Source organism: Homo sapiens, chromosome 1, assembly GCF_000001405.40.
Source record: "Homo sapiens chromosome 1, GRCh38.p14 Primary Assembly".
Lineage (NCBI taxonomy): Eukaryota > Metazoa > Chordata > Mammalia > Primates > Hominidae > Homo > Homo sapiens.
Genome location: NC_000001.11, coordinates 57,044,895 through 57,062,576, shown reverse-complemented (window position 1 = coordinate 57,062,576; position 17,682 = coordinate 57,044,895). Strand labels below are relative to the sequence as shown.

The 17,682-nt window shown below is 43.4% G+C and overlaps 1 protein-coding gene and 1 long non-coding RNA gene across 11 annotated transcripts in view; one reads left to right on the top strand and one right to left on the bottom strand.

Moving 5' to 3' along the window:
- Nucleotides 1-17,682, top strand: part of DAB1 (DAB adaptor protein 1) — a 1,551,949-nt gene that overhangs the window by 1,484,150 nt on the left and 50,117 nt on the right. The gene's annotated exons all lie outside the window — the stretch shown is intronic.
- Nucleotides 13,307-17,682, bottom strand: part of LOC105378748 (uncharacterized) — a 32,737-nt gene continuing 28,361 nt past the window's right edge. Inside the window, exons 3-4 of one of the 3 annotated variants that reach the window (XR_007066124.1) lie at nucleotides 14,006-14,467; nucleotides 13,307-13,830 (exon numbers count right to left, since the gene is read on the bottom strand). This is a non-coding gene — a long non-coding RNA (uncharacterized LOC105378748). Of the gene's footprint in view, nucleotides 14,468-17,682 lie in introns of all 3 variants that reach the window. The other 2 variants (XR_001737649.2, XR_007066123.1) reach the window with 2 other exon arrangements.

The following is a 17,682-nucleotide window of genomic DNA, read 5'->3' as shown; positions in this document are numbered from 1 at the left end:
CAGCCATGGTTTAGAAGAAGTAATTCTTCTAACACATTACAGTATTATGGTATCTAATAGTGTTGTGTATCCAATATCCATTTTCTCACTCCATCCTCAGAATAACCTGAGTAAGAGGCAGAGCTGATAGTAGTGAAGCTCAGAGCTCAGTGACCTGCTCAAGTGGAGGATAGTGTTTCTGTTGTGGAAAGAGAGCTGCCCATCTAATTTGAAAGTGGTTGAGAAGTTTCAAAGGGACAGTAGGAGAGGCTGGCCAGGGCCTTTGGGGTATACAAAAGTTCAGCCAAAGCGTGAAAATTTTGGAAAAGGTCATATGCAATGGGCTTGTGGAGAACCCAAGAGGCATACCACATTAAGGACAACAAGGTCCAGTGGATCTGGACCCCATGTGCCGGTGGGACTCCTGGGAATCTGGGACAGAACCAAAAATTCCCAGCTGTGTGGTACTGCTCCAAACCACTGAAGTGCCCGGAACTCATATTTAGGACCTACAACTGGCATGCAGAAGGCAACCTCTATACATAATTCAGGCAGCTCTCGGGAGCCAGTGAAGGCTCTTGAGCAGGGGGCACATGTGACTTTGCCACAGCCAAGGAACTAGCGTGTTCAGTCACTATTGACCTCATTCATCTCAACAATGTGTGGACAGAGAAGGTGCTTTAAAGTCAGGTAGACCCTCAACAATGTCAGCTCTGTCCCTGACAGCTGTTGTGAGGCTAAAATCGTTCTACCTGGAACACTGTTGTCTGTTCTGGACCCCACACTGTGAGAGACATAAAGGCACATCTGCATGTTTCACGATAAGATTAACAAGGGGATGTGAAACTCCATCCCATGAGGAGCAGCTGAAGGACACAGAAATGTTTGGCCTGGATAAAAGAATACATAGATATGAAATGGGACTCCAAAGGCCACTGTATGGAAAAGGGATTACCTTGTTCTGTGTCAGCCAAGTCCTGGAACTGAGACCAGTGGGTGGCACTATAAGAAAGTCAATTCCAGCTCAAAGTGAGGCTGACCTTCCCACAGTCAGAGCTGCTCATAGCTAGACCAGCTGGCACCTCAGACAGTGAGCTCACCATTCTTGGAGCTATGCAAACAAGACTTGCAGACCACTTGTCAGAAAGATTACCAGGGCGATTCACAAATTGCATAGGGAGATGGACAGGAGAGCTCTGGATGTCCCTTCCAAACCTAAGACTCTGTATTCTCCAAGTTGGGAGTCTTTCTGGTAGATTCTCATCCTTGCCTGCCCCCTTCTCCCTTTTCGTTTAGTGAAACTTCTTTCTGATCAATGTCCATTTCTATAACCCACTCTTCCAGGATCTTGAAACCACCCCCCCCCCCCATCTAAATATGGCTTCTGAAACCTATGCGTGTTAGTTTTAATGAAAAAGCATATCCAGATGCAGGCCCGTTTTCAAAAACCCAAGTCTAGGGACCCTATTCTGTGTTGTACTGTTCAGGGAAACAGCAGTTTTTCTCCCTGAGGCCTTTGCACCTCATCAGGCCCCCTTGTCACTGAAACATTGGTCTGCTCTTCGTGTTTCAACTGGTCCAGCCCCCATGACACCATTCTCTACAATTCAGTTTGTGCCTGAATTGCCACACTTGCCCCTAACAGGTTTAGATACGTAAGGAAACATGCTCCATTTGCTGCCTTGGTTTTTGTGAATTTATTAATGATTCTGGCCACACCATCTCCATGCTTAATAGCTCCAGAAAAAAAAAAAATCCAAGCTCCTTTGCCTGAGATACACAGGTGGGCTGCCTGAAGGTCCCCTCTCCAGCCTAGTGTCTAATCTACCTCCTTCTGGTCCAGCCCTACTGAAATCTTTTTGTGTTTGTTTGTTTTACCCCTCCCCACTCTCTCTGCAGCCTTCCCCCAGCATTCCAACTTTACTTCAAGCTTTGTGTTCTCAGGGGGACTTTCTGGACTTTCGCTCTGAACAGCAACAGCAGATCACTCCTGCCTTTGTGCTGTCATTCCTCTGCTAATAGCACTTTTTCCCTATTACTTCCTTGAATGTCCTGGGGTCCTCGTATTACCAGATGCAAGCCCATGGCCTGGTATATGAAAGCCAGGTACAACACGGCTGCTTTAGGAACATTTAATAAATATATGAAGGCCAGGGGCGGTGGCTCAGGCCTGTAATTCCAGTACTTTGGGAGGCCGAGGCGAGCAGATCATGAGGTCAGGAGTTCGAGACCAGCCTGGCCAGCATGGTGAAACCCCGTCTCTACTAAAAATACAAAACATTAGCCGGGCATGGTGAGGCATGCCTGTAATCCCAGCTACTCGGGAGGCTGAGGCAGGAAAATCGCTTGAACCCTGGAGGCGGAGGTTGCAGTGAGCCGAGATGGCGCTACTGCACTCTAGCCTGGGTGACAGAGCCAAACTCCGTCTCAAATAAAATAAAATAAAATAAAATAAAATAAAATAAAATAAAAAATATATGAATGACTCTATCTGTAGAAGGAATTTGTGAAAATCCCTGGTAGAATTAAGAAAGTCCCCATATTTCTGACTCCAAAATAATCATTAAGGAAATGCACTAGAAATTTTGCTTGCAAAATATCTGGGCTGCCTGAATGGCATGCAGTGGCTCCCAACCCGCTGTTCTCTCAGAGTCCTAGAACCAACTGATGGTAATGATGACTTTTCCATGAGCTATTTTCAACATTTTCAAAAGCCTAAGAGAGGTAAGAAGTAAAAACCTCAGGCTGTGGTATAGAGACAGGTGGCTGCAGTTGGAATCTGAGCTCCTCTTCCTACCTATGAGAATTTCGATATATTTCCTTGCCTCAGAGACTCAGTGTTCTTATCTACCAAAAAAGATGATTGAACATAATTAGAGGTCAGAGTAGTTTATGTATTGGAAAGTTGATCCCACTTGCCCAAGCCTCTCGGAGGTAATACCGAATACCACACACCCCTCCCTGCTCTGAGATCTTCCTGCCTTCCAGGATTCCCCTAGTAGACCTGCCTCTCTGATGAATGCACACTCCCTAGAGTACCTCTGTACTCTGAAAATCCTTGCCTCTCACTGTTTGCTCCTTCGCCACCTTTCCCTTAGCCAGAAAGACAAATACAAGGATAACTCAATTAGTGTATGTTAAGCAGCTTCCAGAAAGTCGTAAGACTTCCACAAATTTCCCATAAGAAGAGAAACTGCCCAGTGGCCTGTTACTCTAGGTTCCACCTGGTTTCATTTTTCTCAGGTTTAGGTCTGCACAGAGCCTGGTCTTCAGAGTGAGATCTGGGTGTAGTTCTTACCACAGCCACTTCCTGAGAGTCCCTGAGCAGCTTTTTGCATCTCTGATCCTCTATGTTATTATCTACCAAAAGAAAATAATACTACCTTTGCTTTGTTTGGAGGATTGAAGGAGACACTTATACAAAACCCTTAACAGAAGATGTGAATTAGATAACATGAGAACATATCCACATGTTGCTATTTCAGGCAGTGCTCTAGCAAACACTCCTCACTGAGCCAGGGATTGGCAACTATTCTAGGGGATTACACACCCTCTCTGGAAAGCCTTCCTTACCCCAAATAGAGTACTCAGTCTCTCTGGGCTACCTCTAATACTTCTCTTTGCACTGATCCTAATGGATTGTCATTTTCTCTTAACATATTCATGTGAACCATTGGACTTTGAGTTCCTCAAAAACCTTGGCAGAGATCACATCTCACGCGGCTTTGCAATTTCAGCACCTAGCATAGTGCCTGAAATATAGTTCCCGCTGAGGACTGTGGTAGTAACCTAAGCTATGAGAGATACCGGGGTTTGAATCCTGGCTTCATTACTGGCTATGTGACCTTGAGTGAGCCCTTTGCTCTATTCGGTCTTTGGTCTTCTCAGCTATGTAATGGTGATGTGAAAACCAAATTCACTGAGTTCTGAGAGTTTAGATTAATAACAGTGATCACTCAGTGTACATTAGCAATTAATAGACACTTACTAAATGTTTTGTTGCACTGAACTACTCACCAGGAGTTGTCACTTTTACTCCATACCTCCTTGCTTTGTAAGTCCGTTGAGGACAGGAATCATATCATATTCATGTCCTCATTACAGTAAGCATCGACACAGAGTAGCTGCTCAAGTGGTAAATGAATGAATAAAAATAAATGAACAAATGAATCCCTGTGTGAGGAATGAATGAACAAATGAATGCCTATAGACTCAAAGCTCATCTATTGTCCATTAAGTTCTTTTTCCTTCTGGGGCCAAAGACGCCGTGTCAAACTAAGACAGTGTTGGTTCTCAAAGAAGCCCTCTTGCCTGGCCCTTCTTCCACTTTGTGTTTAACCATTCTTTCCCTGTTCCACCTGCAGCCTCCATAAATATGTGTTGTTTTTTCTTCATAGCTTGGATCACCAGGCGGACAGGTGGCCTTCTAAACACAAACCCACACACTCACGCACCTGCATTCACTCCCCTCCTACATCAGGAACTCAGCATCAGGCAAAGCCAAAACATCTTGCTTCCTTGGCAGGGTTATTTTTGATTTTTGTTTTTTCATCCTACCTAGGGTTGGATTTTTCCTCCTGGGGCCCTGTGGAAAGTGTTTAAAGTCATTAAAACTCTTTAATTTTTCTGAAGAGGGGCCTGTAACTTACAGAATATTAGGGACACAATCTGATAGAATTAAGAATCAGTAGGCCGGGCGCGGTGGCTCATGCCTGTAATCCCAGCACTTTGGGAGGCCAAGGCGGGCGGATCAGGAGGTCAGGAGATCGAGACCATCCTGGCTAATACAGTGAAACCCCGTCTCTACTAAAAATACAAAAAAATTAGCCAGGCATGGTGGCAGGCACCTGTAGTCCCAGCTGCTTGGGAGGCTGAGGCAGGAGAATGGTGTGAACCCGGGAGGCAGAGCTTGCAGTGAGCCGAGATCATGCCACTGCACTCCAGCCTGGGCAACAGAACGAGACTCTGTCTCCAAAAAAAAAAAAAAAAGAATCAGTGTAGTCCTTCTACCCCAAAACCCCTGTAACTATTTGCATGTCACAGAAGGCTGGAGAAAGGATTTGGGCCCAGTGAATTTGCCAGATACTTGTCTGAAAACCGCTAAAATTTTTGGATTTTAAGAGTGTATCAGTTACATCCCTTGCCTTGTCTCAGATAATATGCAATTAGAGATGGTAGTTACATAGTCCATTTCTCAAACTACATTTGGCTACAGACTTTCTTTTTAAAAATTAAAATTTTATATAACAATATAATATATAAGAGAGACAGGCAAAAAGAGGGGTTCTATGCACTATCCTCAGTCTGTATATGAAATCACTACTGAACTGAATGAACGATAATCAACTGTTGAAATATAAAATACACTTTCTTCTGTGACCCCATTATTTTGTTTTTTGTTGCCTTCTCTACTTTTGGCCATTATCTGGGGAGATTCATCGTTCCAGTGGACAGCCCATTTAGTAACCTGGCCTCGCAATTTCATGACCCTCATCCCTTGAATCTTTTCACTAAGAACAGCCTTAGTGATCTCAGATCCTCAGGAACCCCTCCTTTCTCTCACCATGAGCCTCTGTTCATCCTTTTCTTCCACTCCAGTACTCTTGCTGAACTTTTTCTTCATTCAACATTCAAGATCCAGTTAAAATGTTATTTTCTGTCTTCAGCTTTCCTTGAGTCCCTAGGGAAATTGCTTTTTCGAATGTATTTCTACCGAACTTTTTTTTTTTCCTTTGAGACAGAGTCTCGCTCTGTTGCCCAGGCTAAAGTGCAGTGGCATGATCTTGATTCATTACAGCCTCCGCTTCCTGGGTTCAAGCGATTCTCCCACCTCAGCCTCCCAAGTAACTGGGATTGCAGGCGTGCACCACTACGCCTGGCTAATTTTAGTATTTTTAGTAGAGATGGGTTTCACCATGTTAGCCAGTCTGGTCTCAAACTCCTAACCTCAGGTGATCCACCTGCCTCAGTCTCCCAAAGTGCTGGGATTACAGGTGTGAGCCACCATGCCAAGCCCACTTCTGCTGAACTTCTAACCACAAATTTGAAATTTGTTTTCTTTTCTTTTCTTTTTTTTCTTTTTTTTTTTTTTTTGAGACAGGCTCTTACTCTGTCACCAAGGCTGAAGTGCAGTGTTGCAGTCATAGCTCACTGTATCCTTAAACTCCTGTGCTCAAATGCTCCTCCTGCCTCAGCTTACCCAGTAGCTAGGACTACAGGCGTGCACCACCATGCCTGGCAATTTTTTTTTTTTTTTTTTTTTTTAAAGATGAGGACTTGCTATGTTACCCACTGTGGTCTTGAATTCCTGGCCCGAAGCAATCCTCCCACCTTGGTCTCCCAAAGCACTGGGATTATAGGCATGAGCCACTCCACCTGGCCTTAACCACATTTTATTGTGGTAATCATGGAGCAGTATTTTCTAATGGTTCAAAATATGGGCTTTGGCATCAGAACAACTTGGATTTGACTCCCAGCTTTACCATTTTCTAGCTTTGTGAATTTGAGTACTTAAGTTAGTCTCTCCACTCTCCATGTCCTCATCTGTAAAATGGAATTAATGTTAGTGCCTGCCTTAGAGTTTTTGTGTAAAGACTAAATGTGTAAAGACTAAATGAGCTAAAGTATGTGAATGAGCTCAGTGCAATGAGAATTTAATAGCTGTGGGCTATTATTCAGTTTCTTCCCCCTACTTCTTTGTAAGATCCTAGAGGGCAGGATTCACTTCTATCTAGACTGTTTCTAAGGTAGGCCTTCTTGAGATTTCCAGTCTCTTTGAGATATTGATGGTGGACCCTCTCCCCAGGAAAAAAAAATGTATGCATGAATAAATTTTTGTAGGACTCAAAGCCAACAGGATCCCTCAACCTCTGTCTTAGAGCCTCAGTCAGCAGCTCATCATCACTCTTCCATCAACAGAGATAAATCAGTAACATGGCAAATTTGAGGTTACAGAGCGTTCCAGAGTCTTAGGGCAGAAGTTAGAATTTTCTGTTTCTTATTGCTCTCCTTCACCTGAGTGCATCAACTGATGGGTGCACAGTTTTGTTTTGATGAGCTAGGGCCCAGGTATAGATGGAAAGCTGGTTCCATCTCTTTACTTTCCTCTTTCTCATTTACTCATTCTTGCCCTAGTTTTAACCCTTCTTGACCTATTGATTCAGGATGCTCAGCTGTGGTTATCATCCCTTTCTTGGACTTCTTTCTCAAATAACACATTTGGATGCTTTTCGTTGTGTATTTTAATTTGGACCTGTGATGTCTCTGTCTTTCTAGCAGATTTGTTCTCAAGGTCATGCTATGCTTCTCTCCTGCACCCTTTCCTAGGAATTGTGAGCCAATATAAGGATTAATCCTACCCACTCCTAGAAATATACATTTCATCTGCTTTTCTGGTCAAGGCAGCTGGAAGCTTGGCACAGGGACTAACTTCTCTTGTGACTGTAAACACATAGGTACATTTTTATGTCAGGGTGTCTGAAATCCAACAGCATAAATGCTTGCTGAGAGGAAATGCTAACTGGCTGGAGAGACACGGAGGTTTCAGAAAGGAGGGAATTAATTGAGCAAAGCCTTGAAGGATGAGTAAGATTTGAATAAGCAAAGGAGAAATGTAAGTACCTTCTGGGCAGATCACTGAGACTGCTGAGTCCATACTTCCTCTACTCAGCAGTGCTCAGAGCTGATTAATTTATCACCAATTTCCATCTCAGGGAGCTGGGAAATACACGTAGTCTTTGTTTCTTCGGGCTGATAATGCTGGACATGTTCTTTAGGCAGATATCTTGACTTTTTTGTGACTGTTAAAAATGCACATTCCTGGCCGGGTGCCGTGGCACACGCCTGTAATCCCAGCCCTTTGGGAGGCCAAGGTAGGTGGATCACGAAGTCAGGAGATCGAGACCATCCTGGCTAACACGGTGAAACACCATCTCTACTAAAAATACAAAAAAATTAGCCGGGCGTGGTGGCGGGTACCTGCAGTCCCAGCTACTCGGGAGGCTGAGGCAGGAGAATGGCGTGAACCCGGGAGGTGGAGCTTGCAGCGAGCGGAAATTGCACCACTGCACTCCAGCCTGGGTGACAGAGCGAGACCCCATCTCAAAAAAAAAAAAAAAAAAAAAAAAAGCACATTCCTGAGTGGAGAGGAAGGTGTCTGCTAAGCGTCCCATTACTGCATTCATTATTTAGTGCTTTTTGCACCCTGTTAACCATTGAACATGACTCAGGTCCCACAGTGGGAATGCAAGCAGAGCATTGCATTCACAGGGCCACTCAAGTGCCTATTTCAGACTCTATCACACCTTATAACACTGAACTTGGTGGAACTTAACCTTCACAGACAACTGTTTTAATGACACAGACTTTAACCTTAGTGCAACTTATGTCATTTTCATGTGAGAAATACTTAGCACTTTTCTTTTCCCCTCTCTTCATTCCCCCATGTAATATTCTTATGGCTGAAAAAGATCTTTTATCCTTCTCCTTGTAATTTTTCAGTTTCAAAGCCTTTTATATAGTTGTATTAGGCATAAAAGACTTTCTAATTATCAGTAATAACCAGTCAGTGAATTCTAGCAGAAATTCTTTTGGCCTTCAAAAGACTTTCTTAGGCCGGGCGCGGTGGCTCATGCCTGTAATCCCAACACTTTGGGAAGCCAAGGTGGGTGGATCACCTGAGGTCAGGAGTTCAAGACCAACCTGGCCAACATGGTGAAACCCTGTCTCTACAAAAATACAAAAATTAGCCAGGTGTGGTGGCACACTTCTGTAGTCCCAGCTACTCAGGAGTCTGAGGCAGGAGAATTGCTTAAACCCAGGAAGCGGAGGTTTCAGTGAGCCGAGATCATGCCACTGCACTCCAGCCTGGGCGATAGAGTGAGACTCCGTCTCAAAAAAAAAAAAAAAAATATATATATATATATATATATACATATAGAGAGAGAGAGAGAGAGATTCTTAGATGGTTGGCATAGTAGTAAATAGGAAAGACAGAGATTGTCGAATTGATCAGTTGGATTTGACATTAATTTCCTTTTAATGACAGCCAGGCTTGGTGGCTCACACATATAATCCCAGTGTTTTGGGAGGTGGAGGTGGAGGTGGGAGGATCTCTTGGGGCCAGGAGTTCAAGACCAACCTGGGCAACATAGCAATACCCCATCTCTACAAAAAATAAAACAATTAGCCGGGCATGGTAATACATGCCTGTAGTCCTAGCTACTCGGGGGCCTGAGGCAGGATGATCACTTGAGCCCAGGAGTTTGAGGCTGCAGTGAGCTATGATTGCACAATTGCACTCCAGCCTGGGTGACAAAGCAAGACCCTGTCTCTGTTTTTTAAAAAATTTTCGTTTTGATGAAACATGGATTCCGAAATTGAAAGGAATGATCAGACCCCCCGCCAAGATTCTTTCCTCACTTTGGGTATGATCTTTGTTGATCACTTCAACTTTCTGAGATTCATTATCCTTATCTGCAAAATGGGAATAGCGGCCATCCGCTACTGACATCTCAGGGCCCTGTGAGACTCACAGGTAATATGTGTGAAAGCAGTTTCTGCAAAGAAGATGGGAAGGTGCTTTTATAAAACCCTGAGGAAGAGAAGACCTAGGGATGATATGTGTTAGTTGCCTCCAGTTATTTTACAGGCTGTTTCATGATTAAGGGGAAGAGCACGGTAGTATAATGAGAGAGTGAACATCTGGGCTAAATATAAGAAAAACATTTCAGATAATCTGAGCTGATTTTCAGGGGAAAGGACAACCTTATCGAGTAGTGAGCTCTCTGCCACTAAGAGTATTCAAGCAATGGATCAATGGTTCTATAAGGTATTCCTATATCGTGAAGGGGATTGCCCTAGTGGACATTAGAATTATTCATCTACTCTCCAATTCCATTTGTCACCATGTTCATTATATAGGCCAGTATTTATCTCAATATCTTGCTCCCAGTATCTCAGCTACCATGTCAGGTACCCCAGTGGCCCCATTCCTGTCTTCACCGTTAATAACTTGACATTATAGTAGCTCACTCTGAAATGCACAGAAGTGAGTTATGGTGTTGCCTTCTGAACTTGGTGCTTTGGATGCAAAGAACTTTCTCAAGTATTATAATCCAGTTGCCTCACTGAACAAGCATCAGACACAGAGTATGTGTCCAGAAAATCTGTTTCTCCTTAGTTTCTTTCTGAGAGCTTGAAATCAGGGCTACAGAACTATCTGGTGTGCCCTGAAAAGGAGATATCCTGGGAGAAAATGATAAAAATTCTGATGATCAGATATGACATCCCAGCCTTTGACTCAGTTTCTTTCTTTGTTGTATAATGCCAAGCCACTAACCATATGTACTAAGAATATAAGGTTGATTTTGCTGTAGAAAAAGTAGCTAGACTTTATTGAGCATCTGCTGTATGCTGTGGACAGCCTCGGCTCTTGATTCAGCTTCCCCCCGCCCCCCCGCCCCCAGTAATCACAACCCTAGCAGGTAGACGTGATTTACATATAAAGAAACTGGTGTTTAAAGATGTCATAAACCTCACCCAAATCACAAAGCTCTAGTACTTGGCAGAGCCAGAATTTGAACCCCAGCTTGTTCTGAGTCAGGGGCCCAAACAATTTCTACTAAAACCTACTGCCTTTATGATGAAAGGAAATGCACAGCCCTCCATCTCCTCACCCTTAGCTTAGTTGGAATTAATACTCAGCCTCATGTTCTTCTTCCATTACTTGCTGTTTCTAGAGTTTTTATAATGAGCACCTTATGAGGCCCAGCACTCCCCAGCTAGCTGTGAACATCTCTCTCCTTCTTTAGACTGAGTTCCAAGCAGGCATGCACATGTCTAAGTCATCCATGAAGCTTCACTCTGTCTGGCACACTGCTTTCTTCATACTGGATGTTGAAGAGATGTTTGGGAACCCCAGATAACAAATCTAATGAAAGCCACTCACCTCTCAAGCTTAGAAAGATTCTCATATTGCCACCCTGCATCCCATCCTGCAAACACCCTGTCCCCAAGCAATCAGTATTTGGTTGACTTTCCTTGCCTTAGATTTAATTCATTTTCCCTGCTGCACATGTCAGAAGCTTCAATCCATTAATGTGAAGAATTGCAAGAATTCTCTGGACAACTGTTCCCTACTTCCCCCCCACAACTCCCATCTTTTATGGCAAATAAATTTTCATTCACAATTGAACAGTTGGTTTTTCCTTTAGTTTGAAATCTGGATCAAGATGTTGGATAATTGGATTAAATCTTGTCTGAACGTTTGTCAATTTCACTTCCTCATTAAGCACCACATTGTAGAAAAATCATAATTATTACAATGCAGTTAACATAGATGTCACACAAGAGGAGGTTGTACTGAAGTGAGGGAAGGGAATTTGAATCTGCATATTCCCACAAATGAAATATAAGGTTGTCCCTTTTGATGTTTCTTAGATGAGCTTTCTTTTAGCCATACTTAACAAACATTGTCCTGAGATAGAATCCTGAATTTCTAGAGTCTTGGAGTTAACAGCAACATTAAAAAGAGGTTATTTGGTTTCGCCTCTCCTCCAATGCAAGAATCTCTCAAGAGTATTTTTGATAGGTGTGGATGAACATTGCTGAATATTGGGCTTGAGCTCACATACCTACAATGACAGACCTTCATTACTTTTGTAATCCCAGAGCTCCAGTTGCTAGAAACCCTTATTCTATTTGAGTTCCCTTACAATTTCTATTTATTCATTTATTCCTCCATTGGGCAAACATTTACTAAAAACCTGTGCCCTACCAAACAACATTCTCTTCACTAGGCATATAAAGATAGGCTGCTTTAGAATTGTCATGGTCTCAAGGAGATAGACCTATAAAAATAATTGTGATTCATATAATCAAGGGTGTGAGAGGCTGTGTACAAGATGCTATGAGAGCATAGTGTGGGAGCAGTAAACTTTGCCTGAAGGAGTTTAATGATGTCTTCACCCAGGGTATAGAGCTTGAATAGAATCTTAAAAGATGAGGGGAGTTTGTCTCTGGAGAAAGGGTGGAACAGTATTCAGGAAGAAGGAACTGAATGTTTAAAAGCATGGCAATGTAGAAGAGCCTGTCATGTCACACGGGCTGATGACTAAGTCTGAGGTGGCAGGACCATAGGGTGCCTCCATGGGAGCAGGAGATGAGGATGCCAAGGGAAGCCCCCAAGGAGCAAAGGGTCTGAAATGTGGTGCTGAGAATCTGGGAGCTGTTAGGAAGTCACTGATGCTTTCAGGTGTTAGAATGACAACATCAGTTTTGCTTTTTTCAGTGTACCTCTGGTGGCTTGTGGCAGGTGGCTTGGCAGGTCAGGAGACCATTAAGAAGCTAATGGAATCATCTAAGTGTATCCATTCAGGATAGAGTCAGAAAAACAGATCCCATGCCAGGTAGTTTAATAGAGGGGATCTAATATGAGGAACTAGTTACAAAGGTGTTAGAAGAGCGGAAAAACCAAACAAGGGACAGCAGGGCAACCCAGATTAATAATAATCAGAAGTGGCTACTGTCCTTAGGGATAGAAGGACAGAAGAGACAGTGTTAGCAGAGCCAGCAGGCACTGGGACCAGAGAGAGAGCACTGCCCAGTGGGAGCCCAGAGGACAGAGAAAGGGGCTGCCTGGTGGAAGCTAAACCCCTGCAGGAGACTCAGCCACTGCCACAAATACTGCCAGAAGAGAGCTGGGAGAGAACTCACTGCTTCTTCCTTCTACCCACTATTCAAATTCCAACTACTGCCTCCTTGTTGACCAAATCAAAGTGGAAGTGTGTTGGCAAAGGAGCCCAGGCAATGCAGTTTATGGCAATCAGCCTCCTGTGTTACAGTACAAACTAGAGGAAGGGCAAGAATGGGTCTGAGGGCAAAGAGGTTAAGGGGAGGCATGTGAGGGCTGCTGTGGGTGTAGCCTAGGGGCAGGCATTGCAGATGAAAAAGCGAGATGAGTTTGAGTGTATGACTGGGATGAGACAAACAGGGAGCTGGAGCTAGCTCTGAGGTGACATGCTTTGGAAGGTCAAGTAACCAGAAGACAGGGACCAAGCACCCTGTCTCCTCCCTGTAGGCTCTGTCAGTTACATGCATGGGAATTTCCGTCTCTAACTTCTTTTTTTTTTTTTTTTTTTTTTTTTTTGAGACGGAGTCTTGCTCTGTTGCCCAGGCTGGAGTGCAGTGGTGTGATCTCTGCTCACTGCAACCTCTGCCTCCCGGGTTCATGCCATTCTCCTGCCTCAGCCTCCCGAGTAGCTGGGACTACAGGTGCCCGCCACCATGCCCAGCTAATTTTTTTTGTATTTTTAGTAGAGACAGGGTTTCACCGTGTTAGCCAGGATGATCTCGATCTCCTGACCTCGTGATCTGCCTGCCTCGGCCTCCCAAAGTACGTCTCTAACTTCTAAGACTGTTTGTACATCAGCCTTTCCACCTGCTGTCTTCAGGTTCTAGCCAAAGACAGCATTAATTCCTTTCATCTTCCGTTCTGTTCTCAGTCCAGGACTCACATTTGGGTTGTCACATTATCACTCTGAATGATATCTGGCTCTTTTTCTTGCAACGTTGAAAAACTGAGCTGTCATTAATGGAGTCAAGCAGAGTTGTAAAAGACTCGCTGTTAAATCTGAAACTTGTTTTCCACAAATGCAAATCGGGAAAGGGATAAGTGGTCGCATATGCAGTTGCCTGCTGTCTTGTTTGCTCAGTTGTGTGTTGTAAAGAAAGCATGTCTGAATAACAGTGATCACCCCGTCTCTCTGCTACAATGCAGGCCACTGGTCCTCTGGAAGAGTAGCCTTCAAACTTTTTCCAAAATTATTCAAATGAAACATGCCTGGTATCCTGCTATATAAACAGATGAAAGAGGAGATATAGTTGAAGCTGAGTTGGAGCCTCAAAACCTACTAGTAGGTGAAGCCCCCCCACCTACTAACTCTGAAAGATAGAAAGTTCTAGAAGGAAAGAGATCCAGAGAAGGTAGTATGAAAACTACTGTCCAGAATAATCCACTCGTTATTACGTGGGTAGGAGAAGTGAAGAGGACAGACGAGGACGTTTTTCAGGTTATTTCCCATCTAAGACTTCATTATTCTGTAATTCATGAACAGAGATTGGAAGACCGCTCTCTGGGAGGCTGTAAAACTACAGAAAGAACATGAAATTTGAAGTTAGTTGGAGCCTATACTTATTAGCTGTATGATTCTAGGCAAGTTGCTTTATCTTTTGGATTTTTAGTGACCAGTCAACAAGATGAAAAGAGCTACTTCCCTGGGTTATTATGTGGATTAAATAAGAAGAGATGTAATTACTTTTGTCTTTGATATAGAGTAGGGACTGGTTAATTGATAGGGAACTTGGTATTACAGTTGAGAGTATGAGCTTTGCAGCCTGACTATTTGGGCTTGAAATTTTTATCCCTTACTTACCAGCGGTGGGACCTTGGGTGGGTTATTTAAACTTCTTTGTGCCTCAGTGTATTCATCTGTAAAATGAGGATAATGACTGTGGTAACTACCTTATAGAGTTCTTTTAAGAATTGAATAAAGTAATGCACATAAGATATTTATAACAGCACCTGGAATATAGTAAGTGCTCAATCAATAAATGTCAGCCAGAGTTATTATTATGAACTATGATGTAGACAAAGGACTATACCAAGTGCTTTAAGAGATATAAGGATGAGCAAGACCTGCCCCAGCGACGAAGATGGTTTTAGTCTACTGGAGGAAGGAAGACTGGTGTATAGAGCATGGGGCTGGAGGGCCTGCAGGTCTCCATGCTCAAGCAATAGTGTCAACAAGATCAAGTGTAACTTGAGAGCCTGGGATGGGGCCGAAGCTGCAGGGGCTGCACCATAGCTATGGGGCCATGTCTTAATCCACTTGGGCTGCCATAACAAAATACCACAGACGAGGTGGTTTAAACAACAGAAAATTATTTTCCCGAGTTATGGAGCCTGTGAAGTCCAAGATCAAGGTGCTAGCGGACTCCATTCCTAGTGAGAGGTCTCTCCTGGGGTTGTAGACCACCAACTTCTCCTTATGTCCTCATGCGGCCCTTCCTCAGAGTGTGGATCTGGTAGTGAGGGGGTGGGAACAGAGAGAGGAAGAGAGATCTCTTCCCCTTCTTATAAGGCCACTAATTGTATCATGAGGATACCACCCTTTACCTAATCTAGCCCTAATTACCTCCTAAAGGGCCCATCTCCAAATACTTTCACACTGGGGGTTAGGGCTTTAACATACGAATTTTGGGAGGGACCCAAACATCCAGTCCTTAACAGACAGGGATAACAAGCAATTGTAACTACCAAATACTGAAACCTCACCAAGCAATGGACTGTGCTAGGCACTTAATGTGCTATTTCGTTATTCTCCCAAACTATTGTTGGGATTAGGTCTCTTCTCTACCATAAAGGATATTGAAGATCAGAGGAGTTAAATAAGTTAGAACAGCTAGAAGAGGCATAACTAAGAATCTAATCCACCTCTCTTTGACCCTACAACCAGGTGACCTAGTTTATCATCCAAACTGGGCACTCTTGAAAGTGAAAAAGGGTTTGCTATTAACAATTATGTCAGGGCAATAGGCATAAATATCAGCTGTGTTAGGCAAACCAGGATTTAGGGTCATCCTACCCAAAGCTGGTGACTGCTCTTCCTGCTGGGCCAAACTGCCTCTGAGACCAGAACATGTGAGATTTCAAACAGAAGGCAAGAAGCTTCTATCCTTCTTGTCCCTGAAACTCTTTGTCCATAATGCTACCTGTGCTGAAGCAACAATAGTACTCCCTCCAAGATGCAGGTTCCCTGATGCATGCTTGCTCCTTTGGTAGACATAAATCAGATCACTTGGAGATCTGTTACATGGTGAGAAAATGTGATTCAGGGGTATCTGTTAACTGCTGCTGCTGCTGTGAGTCTGTCATTATTCCTGTAATACAGATCATTAACATTCACAGAACCTTAACTACAGCATCTCTAACGAGCAGAGCTGTAATATACAGTTTCCCCATAAATATCCATTGATGCTGGCACTCATTCTCTCTTAGTACAGTAATTCAGCTTTTCTGGATAAATCATCATGTTGAGGTTCTTTCTTTCTCCTTAACTGCCATTATTAGTGGATGCAGAAGAATAATGAACAAAGTCTAGTGTAAAAAAAAGGAGCAAGAGCTAAATAAATGATCATGGGGAATAAGAAAATATATATTGGTGACAGTCACAACCCAAAGGATACAAAACTTGTTTTTGCAGTGACTTAGAAAGGAGGCGAGAAACTAATATTTGCTGAGCGCTTACTAGGGGCCAGCAAGTGTGCTTAGTGCTTGGCAAGCTGTATCTACTTCAGGGAATCCAAAGGCTTCATTGCTTAACAATCATTTTTGACACTTTTAAAAACACAACTTCCTTAGCCCCAATTCGATAGATCTGCTTTTGTAAGGCTTGCATCTATTTATATATAAAGAGAGATTTACAAAGTTCCCCCAGCTGATTCAGATTCTCAACTAAATTTATCCAGTTTAATTAAGATGACAACTATTATTTTCTCCATTGTATGGATAAGAAGATTGAGGTTGAGATGCTAAGGAGAGGGAAATAGAGTCTGATTGTGAAGGATAAATCCCTTGCTTCTCTACTTATGCCGAAAGGAAGGTCTGCTATTAAGGTGACATTCACTCTCACTTTTTACAACACTTTCTCTCTTCTCCACCTCCCATCTTCCTGCCTATCATAGAAGTTCTGTCAGCATATCGTTATGTTTCTCTCCAGCAGGTTAGCAGTATTGCTGTCCTTATCTCTAGAATTATCCTTTTTTTCACCATTACATGCTGTCAGCCCAATACTCAGGGTTCCCCATCCCACTTTCTTTCTTTTTCCTTTTTTATTTTTTTGAGATGGAGTCTCGCTCTGTCACCCAGGCTGGAATGCAGTGGTGTGATCTCAGCTCACTGCAACCTCCGCTTCCCAGGTTCAAGTGATTCTCCTGCCTCAGTCTCCCAAGTAGCTGGGATTACAGACATGTGCCACGATGCCCAGCTAATTTTTGTGTTTTTAGTAGAGACAGAATTTCTCCATATTGGCCAGGCTGGTCTCAAACTGCTGACCTCAAGTGATCCGCCTGCCTTGGCCTCCCAAAGTGCTAGGATTACAGGCATGAGCCACCACACCCAGCCGCCACCCTACTTTCTTATATTTTAAAACCTTGTAGCCTTGTCCCTTTGGCAGTTTCTATGTTGCTGTTTCCACAGTCGCCTAGGATGTTCTAGCCTCCTTCCTCCTGCCATTGTTATAGGGATAGCCCTTATACTATGATCTGGCCATGGTCCTCCAAGAGAGAATTGGGTTAGACTGGAACAGGACAAGCTCCTAAACTGCCCACCATGGCTGCCCTTTCCAGAACCCTAACCACTCACCCTAGTCTTAAAACACAGGTCGTCTTATACCTTTTGTTCTCCTCACTATAACATAATTGTTATGGGCACATACTCCAAAGCTAACCCACTTTAGGTGAAAATTCTAGCTCGGTCATTTACTAGCTGTGTGACCCTGGGCAAGTTAATTAAACCTTCTGTGCCTTGGTTTCCTCCTCTTGGAAACAAGGCGAGTAACAGCACCTCACGTTTGTTGCGATAATTAAATGAGGTAATATATGAATGCACATAGAATGGTGTCTGGTTCATACAGAGGAAGTTCC